Genomic DNA, 25,511 nt, shown 5'->3' on the forward strand with positions numbered 1-25,511 from the left:
CGATTAGATTCCAGGTCTCTCTGCTTCCAGTTAAGACTCCTTCTAATGGATCATTTCTAGGCCTTTGTCCCTGCTCCTGATGTCCTCACTTGTCCCCATCCCCTTCCTATTGTATGGCTACAGAATGGATGCATGCAAAGTACTGCCTCTAGTAGGAACTCAGAGAATGTGAGTTCTTTCTCCCCACTACATTCACTTTCCCTGAAATTCCTCAAAGTAATCCTGTGATTTAGAAACAGCAATAATGCTTAATTCCATTCTGTGGGTGAGGAAGTTGAGGTTCAAAGAGGGGAAATGACAGCAGCTGAATTAGGCTTAAATCCAGGCTCTGGGTTAGTGCTCTTTCAACCAAACCACATGGCCTCCCTAAGGATAAATGAATAAAAGAAAGAATGAATATTTAACTTAGAAAAGAATGAATTAAGGCATGTATGGCAAACAGGCTTAATGTTTGAAAGTCCCCACCCCATGTATTTGCTTTTCAGTAAAGGCAAAGTCTCAAGCTCCGTGGAGCTGCTCTTTAGGCCAGAGCAATGTACAGTCATGCATTGTTTAATGACAGGGATACGTTCTGAGAAATGCATTGTTAGGTGATTTCATCATTGTGTGAACATCATAGAATGTACTTACACAAATCTAGATGGTGTGGCCTGCTATACACCTAGGCTACATGGTACAGCCTATGGCTCCTAGGCTACAAACCCGTCAAGTATGTTATTCTACTGAATGCTGTAGGCAATTATAACACAATGCTTGCATTTGTGTATCTAAAAAAATCTAAACATAGGAAAGGTACAATAAAAATATAGTATTATAATCTTATGGGACCACTGTCATTCAGGTAGTCTATCATTGGCTGAAACATTGTGAGGTGGTGTGTGACTGTATTTCACAGCTGTGTGCCCTTCACTTTTGACCACCACCTGGTATTCGACCTATTTTAGAGCAGGCCCTCAGTGAGTGCTTCTGAAATTGAACAGAAACAAACCCCCTGGAATCATGGAATTTCAGCTCCAGGAGCACTTTGGAGAGGTATTAGGGGTATTAAGGAGAACTACCTCTCACTTCTTCATAACACCACACAAGCAATGTTTTTCAACCTTTAGTCAAGGCTGATCTGAAGAGAGAAAAAAAAAGAGAAAGACAGGAACACAAAGCTGAAATACAGAAAAGACACCTAAACACAAGATCACCTGGAGACAGAGTCTGAAAAGGGGGTTCTTGGTGAGCTCTCCACCCCAGAGGGACTGGCTTGGCTGAATCAGCCAGGATCAGCCTTCACTGGGACTGGGAAAGAGGAGAGGTGGCCCTGACATCGTGCTGAGCACAGTCCCTGGGAGGCTGGGGCAGAGGGGTGATCCATTAATATGGATGAAATGTCAAGAAAGTAGACAGAATTTCAAACAGCAGCTTAACCCAGGACCTCTGACTATGAGTAGATGTAAAAAAATCTGCTTAGATTTGACAATGATCTGTCATCTAATATTCAGTAAAAACATTCACAACTGAACAAACTTATGCATTTTCACACACAAATATAAAGAAGTTATTCATATAAGATGTTCACATAATGGTAGCACACACACACACATACATTCAAATACATCATAGTCAATTTATCTCTTTTACCTGTCGTAGTCTCTCCCCAGCTTTCTCCTTTTTTTTTTTTTTTTGTTTTTGCCCTATGGATACTATTAGCCTAAAGTCTCACAACTTCCTATATGGGCCTATAAGCTAGGTTTGCTCCACTTTATCCAGAAGTTTCAGGGTTGCTTTTATTTGTGAACTTCTGGAGGGAGAGAGAAAAGGAGGGGTGTCAGCATCACCAAAATGTTCTGCTTGGAGCAGGCATCCTCAGTCTCATTTTCGCCACCAGCAGCAGCAGCAACAGCCACAAATTCTCTGTGAATGGCTTCTCTGTCTCTGGCCTTATGCTAAGGCTCTTGGGCCCCATAAATGAGTAAGACTGTTTTTGGCCCTCTCTAAACATCTCAGTCCAAGAAAATGGAAAGTTGAATTGGTAAGAGAGCTGATACACAATAAAAGTGAAATACCAAAGCCATTACCAAGTGTCAAATGAAATGTGTTTAGACAGTGGTTCCCTAGAAGCTCAGGGCCAGTGCACCAGGAAAGACTTCCTGAAGGAGGGGTCTTGTAGAATCAGTAAAAATCAGGGCAGCAGAGAGGAATGGGGAGGTGCCTAGCAAACACAGATGCTTCATTATTTGTGTTGGATAAATTAGTGATGAGACACTTCAGGTTAAAAGCATGGATGAAGTAGGGAACTTCATGAGGTCTCAGAAGAAAGAAAATATTGGAAAATGTTTTTCAAAATACCATACTTTCCCATTTATCTTCTCAGTTGATCCTCACGATTCTCTTTTTCTTTTATTTTCTGCTGAGGATTATGTCAGTTGAAGATTATGTTCCCATACCAAACAGTAAGAAACTGAAACCAGTTGAAGCTCTGGGGTTACTCCATCCAGGACAAGAGACTTACTTAATGTCTAATACAGCCAGGCAGTATCAGAGCTGGGAGCAGAACCCAGTTTCCTAACGGCTACATCTTTAAATCCATTTGACTTGACAATTTGAGTCTGGGAGTTGAGGATAGAATGTGGCTTGGGTTAGAGGAAGAGGAAGACTTTGGGATATTTCCTGGGAAAACTCCCTCTAGTTAGTGACATAGCACCCTCTTTATAACGCAGGAGTGTGGGAGAGGTGGGTTAATAGAAGGAGCTGGGCGTCCTTTGCACCACTCCATCCTAATATCCTGGCAAAGCACCTCGCTTGTTGTTACAATTCTGAGGGTAGCACCAATCCTGCCTGTTAAGACAATCATTTCACAGCAGTTGTTTCAAAGGAAGAGACTCAGGCATACAGGACATATGGGGACATCCAGTTGCAAAGGAGACCGCCTAAAGCAAGACTCAGGGGAATCAGGCAAAATGAGGTCATGCACAGGAACAAACATAAACCAGTAAGCTCCCTGAGGTGGAGGCTTTTTATAACCAGCATTAAATATTTATTGTATTGTCAGTCTTAGGACTGTACACAAAAAGGAGGAGGGGAGAACGAAAAGAACACAAGCATTAGAGTCTGATGACTCCCAGGCTCCTCCACTTACAACAAGCTGCACAACTTTGGTCAGATTCCTTAGTCTCCCTAAGCTTCTGTGTCTTTAGCAGGGAAATGAGGAGAATAATGCCTACTTCATAGGGGTGTTGTGAGGATTGCATCAGATCATGGAAGACAAAGCAATCAGTACAGGGCCTGGAGCCAAGTAAGCACTCAGTCAGGGCAGAACAGCAGTAACAGTAGCAGCTGCAGCGGCAGGAGGAGGAGGAGGAGTAGATTAGTAGTAGCAGCAATATCCACAGTAGTAGTGGTAGCAGCAGCGGTAGTAGCATTAGATTAGCAGTACCAGCAACAGGAGCAGTAATAGTAGTAGGAGCAGCAGCAGCAGTGGAGTAGTAATGGGAATAACAGTAGAAGTAGATTAGTAATAGAAGCAGCAGTAGCAGTAATAGCAACAGCAATGTTTTTACTAGTAGTAATAGCAACAGCAGAAGTAGTAGTTATAACCACACCAGCAACAATTGTTATGATGTTTATTGTTATAGAAAAAAGGATCTAATTGCCTTGGGCTGTGAAAAAGAATTTAGCTTTCAGGAAACTGTTGGAGGATTAAGTAAATCTGTCTCCTTCATCTCTCCATGGACCCTGGGGCCATGAAGATCATCCAGGACCGCTGACTCTAAGTCTAAAGCACTCTACCATACTATGCTGCCTTTAATGCTGAGTTGGAGCTTAATTCTGTAAGTAAAGGAAGCCATAGAGGAAATCTGAGCTGTGGAATGTCTCAGAGAGGTTGAGGCTTTGGGAAGATAAAGCCATAATTAGGATTCAGTTATCAGGGTGAGGTCAGGATAGAATTTTCGATTTGAGATTTTGTTCATTCTTTCTTTTATTCTGCTGTAGTTACTGAGTGCCTCTGACCTGTCTGGAACCATTAGGTTCTATGGGAGGTGTGAAGACAAATAAAACCTGAACTTTGCCCCCAAAGACATTAAATGATAGTGGGGGAGGTGACAATCAGCTGAGTGAAATAATTAATAAACAGGCCTGGCGCAACAGCTCACGCCTGTAATCCCAGCACTTTGGGAAGCCCGGGGTGGGTGGATCACGAGGTCAGGAGATCAGGACAATCCTGGCCAACATGGTGAAACCCTGTCTCTACTAAAAAAATACAAAAATTAACTGGGCGTGTTGGTGCGCGCCTGTAGTCCCAGCTACTCAGGACGCTGAGGCAGGAGAATTGCTTGAACCCAGGAGGCAGAGATTGCAGTGAGCTGAGATCGTGCCACTGTACTCCAGCCTAGTGACAGCAAGACTCCATCTCAAAAAAAAAAAAAAATTGATAAACAGATGAATAAGCAAAGTGTTAGGGCAACCGAGAAAAGAAAGCAATTAATGACAACTGCTAAGACTGGGAGGATATCATGAAGTTGGGACACATGAGCTAAGTCTTGAATGATGAGAAGGATTTTCTTAGTTAAGAGGAACAGAGATGTTGGCTGGAAATTAGAGAGAACAAGCAGGAATAACCAGTGGGATTTGGCAATTGAACAGAAATGGGGCGTGAAAGACACAAAAGTCGGATGATATCCAGGCTCCTGGCTTGGACAGTTAATTTGAAAGAAGTACCATAAAATGGGGTCATGTTTTATGGAGCTCCTGGAAGCTTCTAAGCAGGGAATGGGTTAACAGGAGAGCATCTGGAGACAGGGAGGCCATTCCAGCAATCCAGGTAGGAAATAATGGTGGGAGTGGCTAGGAGGGAAAGCATGGAAAGGATAGAGGGAGGGAAATGCACAACAAACCTGCCAATAGGCATTATTGTCCCATTTTAGAGATGGGGCAAGTAAACTGCTCTAAATGATTTATAAGATGATTAGCAAGCGGTGGAGCTGAAATTAAAATTCAGGTCTATCTGACTCAGAGTCACTCCATAATACTACCTGAAGGCAGACACACCAAAGAGGCAGAAGCAATGGGACGTGGTGGTTGGTCAGCTGTGTGGGGAGAAAGACATAAAGGAGTTAAGGCAAGGGCAGGGCTTCCAACCTGAGCAATTAGATGGAAAAAGAGAATATTAACCAAGGCAGCTGATGCCAGGGAGAGAAGCAGATTTGGACTTAAGATTGACATGGGGTCAGCTAAAAATAGATCCCAGGTCTTTAGGGGAACAAGTAAATTTTAAGCACTAAGGAGTTATAATAGGCATCATTAGGATGACTTTCTGACTTGTTCGGGCTTAGTGTCGAGGTCTGGGGCTGAACCGAGAGACAGAGAGGTGTGGTAGAGTTGTGTTTGTATCCAGGGTCCACATCCTGTCCTAGTTACTTACTGGCTGTGGACCACGGGCATGAGATTAATCACACTAATCTGAATTTCTTCATCTGCAAAGTTGAGAAAATAAGCCCTGACCAGCACACCACCTGAATTTGGTGTATGAAGACAGATATGTGAGTGCCTTGGGGGAGTCCTGAATTTCAGCTGGCAGAGAAGATCTGTATGATTACTTCATAAAGATGATCCCTGAGATGTTGCATGCCAATCAAAGTAACATAAAAAAAGTTTTGTATGTATCCTGGTAAGATTTGTTTGCTATGATTTTGACAAAACATGGTATCTTGTAGAATCTATTTCCCCCTTCTCTTTTTAGTCTAGTTATTTCAGCCTCACATGAGGCTGGGTGAATATCATGTTCAACACTGTCTTCCCATTTGTTCAGAGTCCCAACTTCCAAAGCCTCTTTCCCCTCCCTCAAGGGTTCAGGGTTTTTGGGTGACCTCACTCTCACCATACCCACTATTTATTCATTCCACACTCAGTGAGCACAGACTCTGCTACGTAATCTGTGTTAAGTGCTAAGACTACAGAGATGAATAAAACCTAGGTCCCTGGCTTGACACTGATCCCTCAGTGTGACTGCCTTTCTTCTGGACACTCCTCTCACTCTTGTCCTCTACTCAAGAAGCATTTGTACTTCTGTCTGTACGTCATCTGGGGAGAAGAAAAGCTTTGGCTCTAGAGAAGGGATTTCCAACTCTAGCAAGCAGATGAGAGGCAGAGCAGGGGTGAAGATGGCTTGAGAAAAGAGTTTTTCTCAGTTCCAGGTATTTTATAGATGTTATTATATTCAATTCTCACCATAAATATAGGAAGTAGATATTATTCAGTTCATTTTACAGATGAGGATCCCGAGACTTAAAGAGATTACATTATTTGCCCAAAGCCATACAGCTTAACAGAAGAGCTGGGATTCACACTCAGGTTGGCCTGACTTTAAACTCGGGCTGTTCCTATTACGTTATGTCTCCCCTCTGCTTTGTGGCCCTGATGCCCCTTTGGCTGAGCTCAGCCAAAAGGTACCAGACTTCTTTAGTGCTCAGAAGGCAGGAACTTAGAGGAAGAATTCCGAACAAGAAATGAGGGACATAGTAGGCTTATTTCGCATACCCCAGATGGAGGAAGTGATAGGGAACCAGAGCTAGATTATCTGCTTGGGGCCAGTAACCCAGAGAGTGTCACGATGGGTCCAACAACCCTGCTGAGATTCCAGGGGCCCTCTGCATGTCAAGGGATAAATGGGCCCCTTGCCTAAACGCTGCTCTCTGGAGGACTCTGGAGTGCCTAGAAGAAGGTCAGACAGGTGTGTGGGAATGAGAGATAGGAAGAAGGCAGGGCTTCAGCAGCAAGTGCTAAAAAGTCCTGAAATCATTACACATTTTTCCCAGCCTGTAAACTTAACATGCTTCCTTCCCCTCTCCCTATCCCCCACTACCTCTAAATGATGCCATTGTTTACTTGTTATTCTGCTTTAACCTGTTTCTTTTTTTGACCTGATTTTACCTGGAGACAAATGGATAAGGCCCAGCACAAAGTAGTGGAAGGGGAGCAGTGTTTGAATCCAGGTTCTCACTAGCCACATGGGTGTAAAAAAAAGGTGTTTACCTTTAGGGTTCTCATTTTTTCTCATCTTCGAAGTGTAGAAAATGATACTTACCTGATAGGACTGTTGGGAACATTGAATAAGGCAATGGATACAAAGGGATCTAGAACTACACCTGACACACAGTATATGTTCAGTAAACATCTGGATGTATGAATCGATGCTGCACAAATGTTAATCAGCTTACACTTCCATAGTTGGCTCTGTTCTTACTATGTAGAAAAATGAGTTGGGTTCTCTAAGGCAGGTCTCAGGTGTGTCAGTTGAGTTACAGTGAAAGGATACTAGTTCTTTCTGTGTTTACCGCCCCGCCTCCATTTAAAAGGCAATAGAAAAAGCTTCTAGACAAAGGCTCACTGTTGGCTGCCGCAAAGCAAACATTATCACCAACCTCCTCTGCTGGGGGCTTAGCAACGAAGAAACTGGGTAACCTCCAGTTTGTCTGCTGCAGCTTGAGGGTAAACAGACTTTTAGTCCTGTCTCTGCACCTCTGAACTGATACAGAGCAAAACTAGCACTGCATCAGTATGGAGAGTTGTGTGAGAGCCAGGTTGAGACCTGTCATGATCCCTCTCCTTCTCACCCCTACTTTTTGCATAGTTGTCTGTCTCCTTGGAAATGCACAGAACACTGCTTTGGTGGCCAGCTCCACCCACCTGTGGCTCTAATCTGAGACAGACCTGGCTGGACAAGAAGATAGGCTGGTGCGCCCCCTGCTGGAGCCAGGTGGGCTAGTAGCCTCTGGCGGGTTGTACACCTCTTGGTGCTGTCCTCCATCTCAGTGCTGAAAACCTTTCCCCTCTAGCTTGAGGTCATAGGTATAACCTTGTTCAAGAAAGCTAAGGAGAAGCTAAGCAGGCCAAGACCACACAGAGGGCTGCTGACAACCCCTGGGCTCTTGCTCAGTCCTTTTTTTCTGCTCTGCCAATGTGGAAAAGCAGACAGTCATCTTGCAAACACACCCTCCTACAGGCTGCCTTATAGCCAGCTTTTTTTTTTCTCTCTCTCTCTCTCTCAAGGAATGGGAAATTTTATCAGAGTCCATATATGCTGTAATTCAGAGACAGTTCATATCACTGTGTCTAGCATTAAGTACTAACTATACTGTACACTCCATTTGCTGACATCCAGAAATGTAACATCCTGTCCCATGTCATTTCAGTCCAGAGAAATGACATGAGGTGATGCTTCGGAGCATTCAGCTTCCAACCCAGCATCCCCCTAGAGAGGGAGTCCCCTCTATTTCCTCCCAGACAGATGTTCGTTCAGATTCTTCTTGCACACCTGTGGTGATGGGGAGTTCATGGTCTTCCAAAGGAACCCATCCAGTGGTTGGCAATTCAATTCACTAGAAGGTTTTCCTCATCCTGAGCAGAAATCTGTCTTACTGAGACTCACTCCCTGGATTTGGTTATTACCTCTCCAAATCCAGGAGAGGTAATAAACTTGTTTGGCAGCACAGAACAAGTTTGCTTCTTTTGTCCAATGATGTCTGTTTAGCTTTTTGGAGACTGTGATCTTTCTTTCCTATTCCCACTCCCTCTTATTATGTATGTATGTATGTATGTATGTATTTATTTATTTCAGCCAGAGTCTCACTCTGTCACCCAGGCTGGAGTGCGGTGGCATGATCATGGCTCATTGGCTCACTGCAACCTTCACCTCCCAGGTTCAAGCAATTCTCCTGCCCCAGCCTCCTGAGTAGCTGGGATTACAGGTGCGTGCCACCACGCCTGGCTAATTTTTGTATTTTTAGTAGAGACGGGCTTTCTCCATGTTGGCCAGGCTGGTCTCGAACTCCTGACCTCAGGTGATTCTCCCGCCTCAGCTTCCCAAAGTGTTGGGATTACAGGTGTGAGCCACCGCACCCGGCCTATTTTTTATTTTAAACAATAAACTGCTCCAGTCTCCTCATTCCTTTCTAATGGGGAAGGATTTGCAGATACCTCACTTTCCTAGTCATATTCCAAATGATCACAGCTACCATTTAGTGAGCACATAAATATTTTTGCCTACATTTTCCACACGTAAGTTCATTAAACTTTCATAACTATTATAACAAGGTAGATATTACTATGACCATCTTTCAGGTGAGGAAACTAAGATCTAGAGATGTTAAATAACTTGCCTAAGATCACACAGTTTTATTAAAGAAATAGAAGTAGGGTTTGAATGCAGAATTAGAACCCAAAGTTGCCTGGCTCCAAGTTTTTGCTCTTAAATAATCATTATACCTGCTGTTTGTGTAGTCTATGATCCAATTAATCAATGTAGTTTTAACTATATGGGCCAATATGTGATCACATTATGGAAGTGACCTGGCCAAGGAAACATGGATCTAGACTATTGCCTCTCTCATCTTATGCAATCTGCCTCTTTTCATGCTATCTAAAATGATGCTATCATTTCCAAAAGGCTGATACACTCTTGGTGCATGCCAAGCTGGTTGCAGTCAATTAAACTCCCCAGGACTTTGACACGGGAACTGCTGGAAATCAAGACTTGACTGTTGTCCCTTATTTTGAAAACAAAGTCCCTGACCTCAAAGTCAGGGTTATATCAGTTTTGGGGTTTGCCTGTTGGTTCTTGAGTAGTGGGGACTGAAAGGGAAAGGTGCCAAGAATGCTCAGAGGAACAGAGGAGCTGCACAAAACACTTTATTTGTGTTCCTCTGGGCAAAACGAACCCAGGGGAGAAGCTGTATATACAACATGACATTTGTAGCCAATCAACATATGGCTCTTTGTCATCATTTCTGAAAACTAGCATGCAAAGGAGAACAAGTTTTCTTTTTGATTTTTGTAGCAAACTTCAATAATCTCCAACTCAAACAAACAAACAAACAAACAAACAAACAAAAAATGCTTTAGTGGAGCTCTGTGCTAAGGGATTTTCCTCCCTGGAGCCTCCCTTCCTCTCCCTGTGTTCTAATCCTCATTTCCGGGAGGTCATTTTAATTAGCAGGCTGTCATGGTGACTCAGCCTGCTGTTTCCACAGACAGGAAGGGAGCAGACCCCCCTGGACCCATTCATCATACAAAGGCACTTTACTCTTCACAAAAATGCCAATATTTAGCTTGCCACACCTTGGGAATTGCTACTACTGTTTTATTTTATCATTCCTCCCTGCCTCAGGGTGCATCCTTCTGTCTTTTGCATCTTCCTTGCCTGGCAATCACCCTTTCCTCATTGCAGATTAGCAATGCCTACATCTTCAGGGGCCAGGCTTAATCCCTGTCACCTGGGATCTGGAGACCTTAACCATAATAAACCTTTTAAAATGAGTGACCAGTGCTTTTTGTCTTTAGAGCTAAAATTTTAATTAAACTACCGAGGAAATTGGGAAACAGCTCTCAAAACAGTTTTCTAAATCTGCATGCTGGGGTTTGAGGGAATCAGCAAGCATGCAGCTTAGATACAGTGACCATATATTTAAGTCCACCGTTGATTTCAAAAATTCTGTCCCATTGTTCCCTAGGATGCATTTGCCCTTTGGTTGCATGTGTTGTTGCTGTTGTTTTGGATCAGAAAATACAAACACTGCATTTCTAAAGCTGTAAACAACCAAGCCTATTTAAAAGGTAACCATCTGCAGTAACTATAAAACTTAAAAATGTAAAGTGGCTTTGAAAGAACTGACCTGATATGTGTCAAATCTCTTAAAAGGGATGTGTAGGTTTTCCTCATCTTGGAAGATCTCTATGTTGTAGAAAATAGCATCTGTGCTCACCTGGTTCCGATCTCCTATTTTGTTCCTGAGCTTTTTGAGCTGAAGGCTTACAATTGATTTTCCATTGGAAAAAGGGAAAATCAGTGATGAAGTTTCTCATTGTATCCCTTCCCTTTCACTAGCCTATGCATTAATCCACAAATCCTTGGAAGCTAGAGAAGAGTGATTAATTTCATTCCCCAGCAGAAAATGCATGCTCCTGTCCCCATAAGACCTCCCAGGACTCCGTGTCTTTAAAAAGGGGTTGAAGGGTCTTTGTGGTTCACTGAGCTCTTCTTGTCCCCTTTGCTGTTGGGGTAGTTGCTGGCTGGGCCCCGCAGGAGTGGGTGCTTGTAAGGAGGGGATTTTTCTTTCCTGCAAAGGGGGAGATAACAGAAAGAGAGAAGACAGCCCATATACACACTGTGATGAAATCATTTGTGTGCATGTCTATCTTCCCCACTGGACTGTAGCCTCCCAGGAACAGTAACCTAGTCTTCTTCCCACAGACACTAAAGGTGACAAAAATGAGCAGACATTGATACTGTCTTCAAGTTGCTTATAGCTTAGGAGAGGGGATAATTGTATAAAATAACTACACAAAACAATAACTATAATATGTGTCAGGAAGTGGTTAGTGTCATAAATATGAGAATCTCTTGAACTAAGTTTGAATTCAAATTGAAGATGTGGCTTTTGTAACCCATCAAGCTCTGACCTTGGTACACCCATTTTTCTTTACTGTTGATGAGTCATGAATAAGGTAAAGACAGAATAGGTGGCAGCACATAAAGGGACACTTTGCCCTAACATACTGCCCCCTCCACCAGGAAGCCTCACTGCCTGAAAATCCACATTCATTGAAGAGCCTTGCTAACATAACAAGGCTGCCAGAATAGGTGAGATACAGCCCTGGAGCACATGCATGGTATGTTACTTACGGGCAATGTCATCTTGAAGCAGTTCCTTACCTTCTCTGGACTTCTATTTCTTTATTTCTAAAATAGGAGAAAAATTCATGTCCTTCCTGCCTCTTAGGCTCTAGTAAATGGAAGTTGAAGAGGTGCTATTCATCTGTCATTGAAGGATGTTGTTTTTAACACCCAAACGGAGCATAGGACGTAAGTATGTTTTTATGGGGAAAAAGAAGAGGGAAGCCCAGATTTGGTCATAGCTGGGGCAGCCATGGGGGGATAGTGGCAAGGGGATAAGTTGTGCAGAGGCTAGAGAGGACAGTGAATGTGCAGAAGGACTTAGGGAGGGTGGGCTAGGAAGGCAAAAAGCCATCAACCAAAGATGGGGACACGAGAGAGCAAGGAGCCACTGGAAGGCAAAACATCCCATACCTTTAGGCCTCTGCAGAGGCTGTTTCCTTCCCTACCTCTCTAGTCTCACCTCTTTTTGGAAGACAAACTCCCACAAAATAAGCCTCCCCCATCCCCAGGCCTTTGTAGCACTTTGTACATTTCATCGCTCCTCACCCTGCTGTTTTCTAGGTTGTTCTTTGCTCATCTCTTTCTCTCATGAGACGATAAGTTTGATGTGTACGCTTTTTCTCTATAATTCCTGAGCCAAGTGCAGGTCTGGTGTGGAGTAGGTGCTTGAGGAGTATTTGATGACTAGAAATGAACTTTCTGTCTTATCTTTACCATATCATTTACTCTAAACGTTCTGGCCTTGTCACTGCCATGGAATGTGTCTTGTTAGGTCCTGCTTCTGTCTGTTCTCTACTCTATTCCCCAATACAGAATACCCTTTATCCCCTTTCTATTTCATCAGTCAAAATTCCATATGTCTGTTAAAGCCAAGTTCAAATGCCACTTCTTCTCTGAAGTTTTCTTGGACATGCCTGCCAGCTACAAAATACTTGCCAGATTTGGTAGGAGAGGAACTTCTGCTTGGGTCTCACTTTTCTTTTCTTTAGTGTGAAGGGGTTGAAGTCGGTAATTTTGGGGGCTTCTTCAGTTCTACCACAGCTCAGTAACAGTCATGGATTATTTAGAATTTAATCTATGCTAGGCCCTGCACCATGCACTAAGGATACAGAAGTAAGTAAGACTGAGGACACTGAAGCTACCAGAGAAGCCAGACATGCATAGAAGCCATGACAATACACCACAGGACATACCATGCTAGAGGTATGTACAAAACACAGTTAGGAGCTCAGCAGAGAGGAAGCAGCTCTGTCTCGGGCAGAGAACATGGACAAGGAAACAGGTTGTGATATTTGGACTGAGTTTTGAATGATAATTATGAGCTCACCATCTACAAGCAGAAAGGGAGCTCATTCCAGCAAGAGGAAAAAGGATGTACAAAGACATGGAGGCAAGAAAACAGCTAACTTGTTCAGGCTGAAGCATAGGGCACGAGGTGACAGAAATCAGGTGGGAGGGACAGGGTGCTCACAGGGGTGGAGGGGTGGTAGAAAGCAGTAAATGAAGTTTAAAATGTAGGCCAAGGTCTTGAATAACAAGAAGAGTTGAAACATTACCCTAAAGGTAATGGGGAGCCATAGAAGGTTTTTGAGAGAAGGCATAATCTGATACATAGTTGAGTACTTATACACTTTTCAGTATTGTTTGTTATGTTTGCATTTGTACTTGCCTTTATCCTCCATAAATCTGAGCACACAATGGGCAGGGGCTATTTATAATCCTCTAGCAGTTGGCACAAGGACTGGCACGTAGTGGGCTCCAGTGTGTTGAGGAGCTGACAAGCCCCGTTACACACACATACACACATCATAACCTCACCATGGAGCCAGCCCTGCCAGCCTGTGACTAAGCCTGAGTCCACCTCTTGCTCAGAGGCCACACTCATGCTCTGTTTACCTACAGAAGCACACCTGCTCTGTTTCTTCTTCCTGTCTGATTTTGTCCCCTTTGCTGGAGCATTTTGGGCTTGCGACTATACCACTGTGTGCTAAACAAAATGTGGGACCTCAGCTTTGGTCATCAATGCCATGCCCCTGAGCCTGAGCTCTTGTGCCCACATTGCTGCCCCTCCTGAGGGACCCTATCTGAAGGGTGTCCCAGTATCCAATGATGCCGGCAGGCTTCTGCCAGCGTGTGAGCAGAAAGTGACATATTGTAATTATCCATGGAGATGGGAGAAAACAAAGATTAGTTTTGAGTCAAAACATGTAATTTTCCTTTAAAGCCAGACTGCTCTTTCACTTAAACTATTTGATGCTTGGGTGGAAAATAATACAAAAAAGGGGAAGTATTTATATCCCAAATTAGAGCTCAGAGTCTTGTATCCTCCTGGGAATTCATTTTTAAAGGATTACTGACCAATCTAGAGCTAAATGGTGCTCACAGTTTGATGAGGCAGAGGTGTGTGCATAGGGAGGAGGTTATTAAGTTTTTTCTTAATTTAAAGGTGGGTGCATTTAGCTCAAGTCCTCAAAACTCTGAACTCATGAGGAAGGAGCTCTCTAGATCTTTTCTGAAGAGGGCTCCAAAGCTCAAGGCAAGGAAGTGCCATGAACAGTTAAACTCAGGGCCCTGAGATCTCCCCTATGTCCTTTAGATCCGTGTCGGGGTTCCATCCTCTCCCATCTCCACGAACTCTTCACTGGTAGACACTGAACACACTGCATGGCAGGGTGAGGGCCTGTGCTCCAGTCCTGGCTCTGACCACATGACTCTGACCAGCTCCTTCTGCTCCCTAAGTCCCCATGTCCTCATCTGTATCGTGAAGAGAGTCTAGAGGATCACTAAGGTCTCCCTGAGTGTCAGCACCATTTCATTGGTATATGACAATGCAACATGCAAGAAAAAAATGATTAAGGATCAAGATAATTTTATTTAGGCAGAGGACCTGAAAGAGACAATCCCCAAATTAACTTGTAAATGAGATTCTAAGAATTCTTTTGAGTTTTATAAAGCTTTAAACGTTTAAGAACTTTAACCAATCACGAATGACTTCTAAGAATGAACTGAGCATTTTCCTCTAGATGTGAGCTCCTCAGAGGCAGGGGTCATGCTTTAATCAGCCACTCATCCCAGCACTTCCCTCCTGTCAGGGGCCTGGTATAAAGTGTTGCTTTTCCTGAGTGAATGAATGAATGTATACATGCACGTATGCACAATGCAGGACAGGCACTTCAGGGGCACAAGAAATAGACGTGATTCTCCTGCAAGAGTTTCTAATATGCCATGGTGGTGGGGCACAAAGACCCTAGATGATTTAGAAACAATCTGGGACAGGGTATCAGAATACCTTGTCATGAAGACTCTATGACATGGGGCTAAGAGATGTATGACTCATAGCATTGTGGAACATAGGCCCTGAGACATCACCCAAACAAATAAGTCAAAGACTTGCCCTAGGTCTTGATGAGTTGGTTGGAAATCTGGGACTGCAACCCAGAAACTGGAGGACATGAAAACATTTATTGAGCATCTACTAGCTGCTGGGCACTATACTAAGCTTGTATCCATTCTACAAAACCATATTTAGAGATTGTTGTTATTATCCCCATTTATAGGTAAGTAGAAAAAAGCTTCAAGAGGCCAAGAAACTTGCCTAAGATCCTATAACTCACATGAGTCTGAGACAGAATTTGAACCCATGCTGATGAACTTCTACTTGCGGTGAACCTTAGCTAGACTTCAATTCAGCTTTCAAATCATAAAAGCCTAGGATGAAACCCTGGCTCTCCCAAAAACTCTTTGACCTCAGGCATCTCAGACCTTCTCATCATCTTTCTTAGTCTCCTTTTCCTCATTTGTAAGATGGGAAATACAATGTCTATGAGGAATAAATAATACAATGTACACAAAGTACTCTGTACAATAAATAACGGTGATTTATATTGTTTTTATCAATAACAGCGTAGGGAGGAAGGTGCATCAGTGCAAAGGCCCTGAGGCACCCACATACATGAGCAAGGTCATGGCAAAGGTCAGTGGAAAGAATGGTCTGGCAGGAGCCGGGAGTTGGGCATTGTCATGTCCTTCAAGTAGGATGGACCACTGAAGGAGTGGGAGATGAGTCTAAGAGGTAGGGCAGGGCCAGCACATTCCAGATGCCATGTGATGTCACTGTTCTCATGCTAGCTGGGTTCACAGCCAGTGGTCATGGAAGTGCCCAGTGCTTCAGGCTCTGGCCAAGTCCTCAGACAGGATGGAGGCTCACCTCCTGACCTTCTCTCCTCAGCAGCCCTGCAAGTTGGCCCCAGAAGAGGACCCAAGGTAGAACTTCTCAAGGGTGTGTCCTCTCCAGCCCAAATCTTTACATCTTGAGGGAAGGAGACTATCATGTACTGACAGCACTGTGCTGGGTGCTTTAACACATATCTCATAATAATCATGTATGTGAGGACTGCTGTCCTCACTTTATAGATGAGGAAACCGAAGGATCAGAGAAGTTCATATAGGAACCTCAGAGGATGAGGTATCAGGAGAGGTAGCACATAGAAACACCCAAATTTAGAACAATGACTGAACTCAGCTCCCCAGCAAGCCCCATCCCTGTGGATTCCTAAGTTAGAACCAGAAATGTGACCATGCCCTCACTGTCTGACCCCTTAATGACACTTTCTTTATGCTCAGGAACTATGCTCTTCTGCCCCATAAAATCTCGGTGGCAGGGCCAGGATTATCTTTCCTGCGGCACAGATGGGATGCTGAGTGTCAGCAAAAGGCTAAGGGAAGTTGCCCCTGAATACAGCCCGTGGAGCAGAACTCAAGCCGAAACCTCTCTGCTCTGCCACTTACCGCAGTCTCGGCATGGGAATTGCCACCTTTTCAACCACGGGGTTCAGCCGATAATAGTCCAAAAAGGTTCTTGCCACATTCCGCCCCAGCTTCATATCTGCAGGTGTGTGCATTAAGGAGCAACTTCGAAAACAGATTGAGACAGAGTGAAAAGAGAACTACTAATAAAAATAATAACAGTAATAAAAACAGTTACACACTCATTGTTCTAAGCTTTTTGTATGCGCTGTCTTTTTTGATCCTTGAAAAACCTTAAATGGTAATCACTATTATTATCCTAATTTTATAGATAAGAAAACTGAGGTGCACAGAAGTGAAGTAATTTGCCTAAGGTCACAAAACTGGGAAAAGGAGGAGCCAGGATATGAGTCTAGGGAGTCATAACCCAAAGCCTGTGCTCATAGCTTTCAGGGTACAGCCCTTTGGAAATCACTGGGCTGCTCTGGTCTAGCCTCAGGTGGCTCAGGATGGAGCCAGGTAAGCAAAAAACCCAAGGACAAGAGACATTTGTTGCATATAGACAAGGGCCTGCTTGACCCTTAGGGCTCAGTCATCCACTTTAGTAACCTCAGGCACAATGGTAAAACCCTGTGACCCTAAACAGTGTTCCCACTGCACCTTGAAATTCCTCTGACAATGAATCTTCCTGGTAAAGATTTGTGGCTGTAAAAGCACAAACTTCTTGGGGAAGGGCCAATTTCATATTGACCATTAACACCTTAATGTGAATAAGTACAACAATCATTATTCAACAACAGAATATCTTCTCTGTGCATTATAGCTCACATCTCTGGGCTTCATACATGTTATTTCCTCTGCTGAAGTACCTCCCTGCCCACTCCTGCCTTCTCCTTGGCTAATTCATGCCCCTTGCTTCTCTAATGAGGTGATATCTCTTTATTAGAGCCCTCCAGGATATTCTTCTCCTCTCTTCCCAGAACTGTGATTCGTGCCCTTGCCCCACACTTTCATGACTCCTGAACTGGCTTCATTCAAAGCACTTATCACTTATCTCACAGCAAGAGAATTATGTGTTTACTCAGCTTAATCCTTAGCGATTGCTTCTCCCTCATCTCTTAGCTCTGAACATCCAAGCTGTCACTAACCCTTCTCCAAGACACCTCCCATATCTTGAATGTTTTCACTTCTTTCCACCCCCCTAGAATAGGCCAGCATCATCTTTCTCCTAGATTGCTGTCATCCTGTCCTAACTAGTTTCCCTGCCACAGAATTTCTCCCCTCTGGTCCATTTTCTACCGTGCAGCCAGGGGGATTCTGCAATGCAGCTCTGAATATGTCACTCAGCTGAATAAAACACTTCAGTGGTTCTCAGTTACCTTCAAAGTCCAAATCTCTGAGTGTGATTTACCGTACTGTTCATAGTCAGGTCCCTGATTATTTTCTCAACATTATGCTTGCTACCTCCCACCTACTCCCCTTGCCCTTCACATTCCAGAAACACTGAGCTTCTTCTGCCTCCAGGCCTGTGCCCATACATGCCATCTTTCTAGATCACTCTTCCTCCCTTCACATGCCTTCCAGGACCCACTCCTTCTCAGCTTCAAGAGCTCAATTCAGTTGTCACTCTACTGGGTAAGTCTTCCTTGGCTGCCCTTGCTGGGATAGGGGTCTCTCCTAGGTTTTCCCACAACCTCTTCTTCCTGGCCTTCACCAACCAGAGTGCTAATCATACTGCATTTTACCTGTCTCTTCTTTTCAGTAGCCCCTTCTAGCCTGCAAGCTCTATGAGGCAGAGGTCATATCTGTCTTATTCATCACCTAAATACCCACACACTCATCTGACAATAAGTATGAAATATATATTTGTTGAATTAGTAAATAATAGCTGGGTGGGTGCAGTGGCTCACGCCTGTAATCTCAGCACTTTGGGAGGCTGAAGTGGGTGGATCACCTGAGGTAAGGAGCTTGAGACCAGCTTGACCAACATGATGAAACCCCATCTCTACTAAATACAAAATTAGTTGGGCGTTGGGGCGCATGCCTGTAATCCCAGCTACTGGGGAGGCTGAGGCAGGAGGCTCGCTTGAACCCAAGAGACGGAGGTTGCAGTGAGCCAGGATCGCACCATTGCATTCCAGCCTGGGCAACAAGAGTGAAACTCCATCTCCAGAAAAAAATAAAAAAATAAAATAAATAAATAATAGCTAATACTTATATAATGTTTAATACGTGCTAGGCAATCTTTTTTTTTATATATACTTTAAGTTCTGGGATACATGTGCAGAACGTGCAGGTTTGTTACATAGGTATACACGTGCCATGGTGGTTTGCTGCACCCATCAACCCATCATTTACATTAGGTATTTCTCCTAATGCTATCCCTCCCCTAGCACCCAACCCCCTGACTGGCCCCAGTGTGTGTTTTTCCCCTCCCTGTGTCCATGTGTTCTCATAGTTAAACTTCCACTTATGAGTGAGAACATATGGTGTTTGGTTTTCTGTTCCTGTGTTAGTTTGCTGAGAATGATGGTTTCCAGCTTCATCCATGTCCCTGCAAAGCACATGAACTCATTCTTTTTTATGGCTGCATAATATTCCGTGGTGCATATGTGCCACATTTTCTTTATCCATTCTATCATTGATGGGCATTTGGGTTGGTTCCAAGTCTTTTCTATTGTGAATAGTGCTACAATAAACATACGTGTGCATGTGTCTTTATAGTAGAATGATTTATAATCCTTTGGGTATAAACCCAGTAATGCGATTGCTGGATCAAATGGTATTTCTAGTTCTAGGTCCTTGAGGAATTGCCACACTGTCTTCCACAATGGTTGAAATAATTTACACTCCCACCAACAGTATAAAAGCGTTCCTATTTCTTCACATCCTCTCCAGCATCTGTTGTTTCCTGACTTTTTAACGATCGCCATTCTAACTGGCGTGAGATGGTATTTCATTGTGGTTTTGATTTTCATTTCTCTAATGACCAGTGATGATGAGCTTTTTTTCATATGTTTGTCAGCTGCATAAATTTCTTCTTTGGAGAAGTGTCTGTTCATATCCTTTGCTCACTTTTTGATGGGGTTGTTTTTTTCTTGTAAATTTGTTTAAGTTCCTTGTAGATTCTGGATATTAGCCCTTTGTCAGATGGAGAGATTGCAAAAATTTTCTTCCATTCTGTAGCTTGTCTGTTCACTCTGATGGTAGTTTCTTTTGCTGTGCAGAAGCTCTTTAGTTTAATTAGATCCCATTTGTCAACTTTGGCTTTTGTTGCCATTGCTTTTGGTGTTTCAGTCATGAAGTCTTTCGTGCTGGGCAATCTTCTAAGTGCCTTTTGTATACTGACTCATTCAATTCTCACAATAACCCAATGAAGTAGGTATATTATTCCCACTGTTCAGAGAAGATAAGGGATTTCCCCAAATGTTGGGCACCTAATGAAGAGCTGGGATTGAAAGTGAGTACCCTGGCTGCATGTGTTTATCGACCTTCCCAAACTACCTCTCCAGCACCTGCACCATTCCATATTCACTTCTGTGTCTCTCTTGCCTAATAAGTGGTAGGTTACCTTCCACGTACTGAGAAACAAGACTCACACCCCTGACTCAGGAGTAGGTGAGGGGGGCATGCAGGGTAATATGCAGAGGAGGAGGAACCTGAGGTTGGTCCTAGAGGATCAGTGGAGAAGGACCATTCTCAGCTGGGCTATAAAGGCTGGACAACTGAAGGGGCATTTCGGGGAGAAGACACAGAGTGAGTAACAGTGCAGAAATGATTTACCATCCATCCATCCATCCATCCATCCATCCATCCATCCATCCATCCATCTACCCGTCCATCCATCCAACAAGCATATTTGGAAGCCTCCAGTGTGTCAGGGCTTGTGTGAGAGGAGTGTTTGGTGGGAGGGGTCTTGGTAGGTCATAGTGGAAAGGACAAAGTGGAGTGGGAAGAAAAGATGCAGTTGCTTGCATTTGCAGGATTGTTGGGCAGTTGCCACAGGCCTTCCTTCAGTGCTGTCTAGGGCTGGGCCAGGTCTCCTGGGCCATTACTCCATCCAGGACCATGGAGATGGACAAGTGTTTGAGAAATGGGCAAGTGAGTTCTCAGTACCTTCTTCAAGAAGTCCCCAAGCTGGGGTTGGACATGGCCTAGGACATGAAACTTAGCATTTACGGAGCACCTACTATGTGCCAGGCACTGCACTGGCTGCTTTGCCTACAAGTGCATTTTAATTTTCAAAACAATCCAGTAATGAAGGCTATTTTATCTCTTTTTTGTTATGGGAGGTTAAGGAATTTGTCCAAGGCCACATAACTGGTAATGGCACTGTCAGGACTCAAACCCAGGCAGGTTTGACTCCAGAACCATGAGCTTTCCACTATCCTGGCCCATTTCCTGATTTGAAGGCACCTTTTCTGTCAAAGCCTGAGTCATCCCAGGCCAGTGCCTGATGGGAGAAGGAAAAACACCAGACAAGTTGTTTATGACAGTGAAATGTACTGCAGGCTCACTGGGCTCTGGGGCTGCCACCTGCTTTCTTCCTCTGGATGTGACTGACCTCCTCTGTCCTCTTGTTTAAAAAGTTCACAAGCTGGCATTGGGCATGACCTCTCTGAGCAGCAGACTCTGGAGGCAGTCTCACCCAGCTTTCACCCAGCCAGTCTCCATTTGGCTGGAGGAAACCAAATGGTGGTTGTGTGCGCCAGCAGTAAGAGCTACAGGGCAGAGAGGAAAGCAGAGGTTCCTGTGGACTGAGGTAAAAGATTGCAGCAAACATTGTGGAGGCAGATATATTTAATCCAAATCCTGGCTCTGCCACATGCTGTGTATGGCAGATCGTATTTTCCAAAGATGCCTGCAACAATATCTCCAATCTCACATGTTATTGTAGTACATGACCTTGCCACTCCTTCCACTGAGTAGTATACTTACTCTTCCCTTGAATTTGGTTGGGCCTGGGACTTGTTTGTAACCAAAAAAATGGCAGAAGTGAGAGAAGTGAAACAGTGGGATTTCTGAGGTGAGGCCAGAAAAGGTGAAGAAACTTGTACTTGCTTGCTGAAATTCTCAAGCTGGAATCCCGAGCCTCCATGTGAGCAGTCTGACTGCCCTGAGACCCTGAGACCCTGAGACTACAGAAAAAGAGAAGAGAGAGATTCCCAGCCAGCCTACAGCTCCCCCAGCACTGTACTGTTCCATCTCCAGCCATTGTCTGACTGCAACACACCACTCTTCAAGCTAGAACCACTCAGCTGAGGCCTCCTCAAATTTCTGACCCACAGAGAACATAGGAAAATAGCTATTGTTTTAAGCCACTAAGTTTTGGGGAGATTTTCTAATGTAGAACTAGAGAACTAGAATACTGTGTGACCTTGCATGAGCCATTTCGTTTCCCTGAGTTGCAGTTTCCTGCTCACAGCATTGTTGGGATGAAGAGTGTGACTGCACCTAGTTGATGAATAACATAGGGGTTGGATGAATGAATGAATGAATGAGGAAGAGAGAAGCCTGATCCCTTTCTCACCATTCCATACTGAGAGCCAGACTTAAAGCAACTGTAGGAGGTAGCCTTGTAAATCAATCCTCTTGAACTCTGCAAGGGAAAGGAGATGGGCTGTTCCAGTAAAAGGTGCCACTGTAAGGTGTTGATCATTTTGGACAGGATCTGTTTAAAAGCCAGTGTTTTAAAAATGGGCATTTTCTGGGACAACTCTCTTTCCCTTCCCCCTCCAACCCTATTACATATTCCCTAACCTTGAAAGCCTCACTCCAGATTATTTACTGCAGTGGCCCTGTTTGAGTCAAGAAACAGGACATGGGCAGGAGGAGAGGAGGGATTGATTGAACATTTTCAATTAAAACAAGCTGAATTTAAAATTCAGGCAAGGAGAGGCAATAATTCTCTTGGCTGGAATGCTTTTCATTGTATTGTAGAATTAATAGATAAAAAATTGGGGGTGAAAACTCCCAACTATTCATTATGAACAAAAATCTCAAGATGGTCTGTAAGTTAAAATTCTCATCATTTTCAGGTTCCTGTGTAGGTCATTGATCTGTTTCTCAAAAATGGCAGGGTATAGCCAGCCACATGGGGAAGATGGAATCAAGACACTCAAAGCAATAAACCAGGAGAATTCAGCTGGGATTGTCCTAAACTTGGACTGACTCCATGACTTCCATACAGAGCTCTTTTGAAATAAAGTGTGGGTGTAAGTAGCCCTAGCCTCCTATTTAATGAGGTCCTTCAACAGGTAATGAAGGTTTGAACATTTACTGTTCATTCTCATTCATTCACTCATTCCTTCATGCATCCATTCAAACGTTTGTTGGGCTCCTCCCATGTGTATACTGCTATGAAGAGGACAGGGATTGGGGTTAAAGGAAAATTAGACAGATACACTTTATAGCCTAGAGAAGGAAACTCACATGTTCCAGTTAACTATATTACCTGGGAGGCTGTTGCACTGTCATCTTCACAAAAGCAGGAACTATTTTTTTTAGAGTTTACTCCGCAATGCATACAGTGTAGTTACTATCACCAATCCTCACCAAAGCCCTGCAAAGTCAAAGTACAATTCGACATATATTTCACAGATGAGGAAATTGAAAATCAGAGAGTTTACATAACTAATTCAGAGTCTCGTGGCTTGAATGTAACAAAGGTAGCATACGAACTTCAGTGTCTTCTAACAGCGTGCGTATGTTGTTTCCTTTCTTGAGTGTAATCATAAATTCAAACACAAAATTCTGTGGATGTGTGGAAGGAGATTGAATTCCAAATGGAGGAATTGTGAAAGGCTTCATGGAGGTGCACATATAACAAAGATTTGAAGGACAAAGACCGGTCTTAAAGCGGGTGGAAGAGAAAGACAAGTATCAGCAGAGAAACGGAGTGCGGTCAGGCACATGACCTGAAATAACACAGAAAAGGGTCCGAAGGCCCATGTAGCTAACCGCGTAGAGTGGAAGGTGACGCTGAAATATTAGGCTAGAGACAAGTGAGTGAAGGCTTTGAATGCCAAGTTAAGAAACTTAAACTTCTATTCTGTAGGCAATGAAAGCCAGTGAACATATATGGGTTGTATCTGTAAATATGAATTTACTCAGTGTATATTTAATATCATCTACTATGTTTATTATGTTCAGGCTTTTTGGAAGGCTCAGGGTATACTATGGTTAAAAACAAAAGAAGACAAAACCAAGACAATGGTTCTTAAGTCTAGAAGCAGAGACAAATAGCGAGGTAGTAAAACAAACAAACACACACACACACACACACACACACACACACACATACATAATAGCAATTGATATATACTATGAAGAAAATGCACAGAGTCTGTACCTGCAGATAATGCAGGCGTGGGAAGGCCTCTCTGAGGAGGGGATATGAACTGAGAGTGAGCAGTGACTGCAGCGGTACCTAAGAAGAGGGAAGGGTGTCTGGGAAGGGTCCTCGGGTGAGAGACGGAAACTGGAAGAGGGCTGGCAGAGGGTGATAGGCAAGGGCTAGATCACCAAGAACTCTCGGCCACCTTAAGGAGTCTGGACTTTCTTGGTGAATGGGAAGCTACTGAAGAGTTTGAAGCAGGAAAATGACACGGTCTCATTTTTATTTCCAAAGTCACTGCTGCACTAAAAGAGAAGGCAAGAGTGGAAGCAGGCAGAGTAGCTAGGGACGACTGCAATGGTACAGGGGAAGAAAAGGGAGGTCCCAGCTGTACAGAGGCAGTAGAGATGGGAAGATGTATTTGTAGGAAGAGCAAACAGGACCTGCTTCCAAGTTGGATGTGGGGCCCAAAGGAGGGGAAGGAGTGAAGGATGACTCCTTCATCTTTGGCTTTAGCAGCTGGGTCGATGGGGGTGCCCTGATCTGGCATATGAAAGAATGTGGCAGGAATAGCTTCAGGGGAGAGATTAGGAGGTCAGTTCGGAGCATGTTGGGTTTGAGCTATGAGACATTAAGTATCCAGGTTCTGAATCAGAAATGGGAAAAAATCAGAAAATGGGAATTGTTTCTGAATTTTCAGCTCTTTGGGATTATTCATGCCACAAATTCTTGCTGACTGTGCAGTGTGTTCCATTCTGCTCAGGTCTCCACCTCTTCCTCCCTGCTCTTAGGGTGTCCCAAGGGCTTTAGGGGAATGGCAGTAACTGAAGGATCCTCTGTTCTCCTGTCTCAGGGCCTCAGATCTGGGGCCTTGAGAGTGCACACAAGTGGGAATCAAGAGACCAATGTGGTTTTCATCATTAACTAGCCATGTGACCTTGGGCCATTTCCCTTCACTGGGCCTAACTTCTCTGTGGGTAAATGTAGTCTCTTGAGTCCTTTTTCAGTTAACATGGTACATTGAAGCAAAGCCCTCAATACAATAAGCTTATGAGAAATCCCATCTGCATTCTTTCACTCACAAATATTTAGGGAGAACTGACTATGTGCCAAGTTATTTTAGACACTTGGGATATACAGTGAACAAAACTGGCAAAGACCTCTGTCTTTATGGAGTTTAAATTCTAGCTATGGGAAACAAGCTGTAGACCTAATAATACATGTGTAAATTATATAGAATGCTGGAACGTGATAAGTGCTATGGAGTAAAGATAAAGAGTAGGGTAAGGGGAGTGCTGGGGCCAAGAAGAAGATCGCAGCATTAAGTAGAGTGCTCAGAGAGGCTTCCTTGAGAAGGTGGGTGGGAATGGGCTTGGGGGAGGTGAAGGTGCTGGCCAGCACCAAAGCGGAGTTAATCCTCCTCATCTGAAACACAGCCCTGACCAGTCATTTCACAATTAGGCTCTTGCTAAATCCAGCCCAATCCCAAACTGGGGATAATAATCAACCTCAGGGACGAGTCCTCCCTCATGGGGTCAGGAACACCTTTTTCGTGGTAATGGCTGTTTTCTGTCTCCAGGTCCAGGTCCTCTTCACCTCCCAGAGCAGCTTCGGCAGAGACAAGCCTCACACACATCCTCCCGCCTGGCCTGCGGCCTCCCTTCCCTGTCCTGCTCCTCCCCTTGTGGACTCATCTCTGAAGCTTTCTCCATACTTCTCACTCCCTGCAGCTCTTCTAGAACCCTCAGCAAGCTCAGCTGGCCTGAC

General features: G+C 44.0%; 1 protein-coding gene across 8 annotated transcripts in view, besides 1 other annotated feature; it reads right to left on the reverse strand.

Annotated features, from left to right (window-relative positions):
• The window catches only part of AGBL4 (AGBL carboxypeptidase 4), a 1,501,444-nt gene that overhangs the window by 681 nt on the left and 1,475,252 nt on the right, over positions 1-25,511 (reverse strand). For 4 of the 8 annotated variants that reach the window (NR_136623.2, NM_001323575.2, NM_001323573.2 and 1 more), the window contains 2 exons: positions 16,451-16,547; positions 9,663-11,102 (listed from right to left, as the gene is read on the reverse strand). Coding sequence is in view for 7 of the 8 variants with exons in the window: in NM_001323575.2 (NP_001310504.1) it covers positions 10,982-11,102; positions 16,451-16,547 (218 nt within the window). In the remaining variant the exon portion in view is untranslated. Of the gene's footprint in view, positions 1-9,662; positions 11,103-11,693; positions 15,896-16,450; positions 16,548-25,511 lie in introns of those variants that run through there. The other 4 variants (NM_032785.4, NM_001323574.2, XM_017002596.3 and 1 more) reach the window with 3 other exon arrangements.
• Positions 3,034-3,535: an enhancer, noted in NCBI's record as "NANOG hESC enhancer chr1:48991897-48992398 (GRCh37/hg19 assembly coordinates)". NCBI's record gives its function as "activates a minimal SCP1, AML or CMV promoter by ChIP-STARR-seq in primed H9 embryonic stem cells {active_cell/tissue: H9 hESC(primed)}" and the evidence as "EXISTENCE:reporter gene assay evidence [ECO:0000049][PMID:30033119]".

This window comes from Homo sapiens, chromosome 1 (genome assembly GCF_000001405.40).
Source record: "Homo sapiens chromosome 1, GRCh38.p14 Primary Assembly".
NCBI classification, from domain to species: domain Eukaryota; kingdom Metazoa; phylum Chordata; class Mammalia; order Primates; family Hominidae; genus Homo; species Homo sapiens.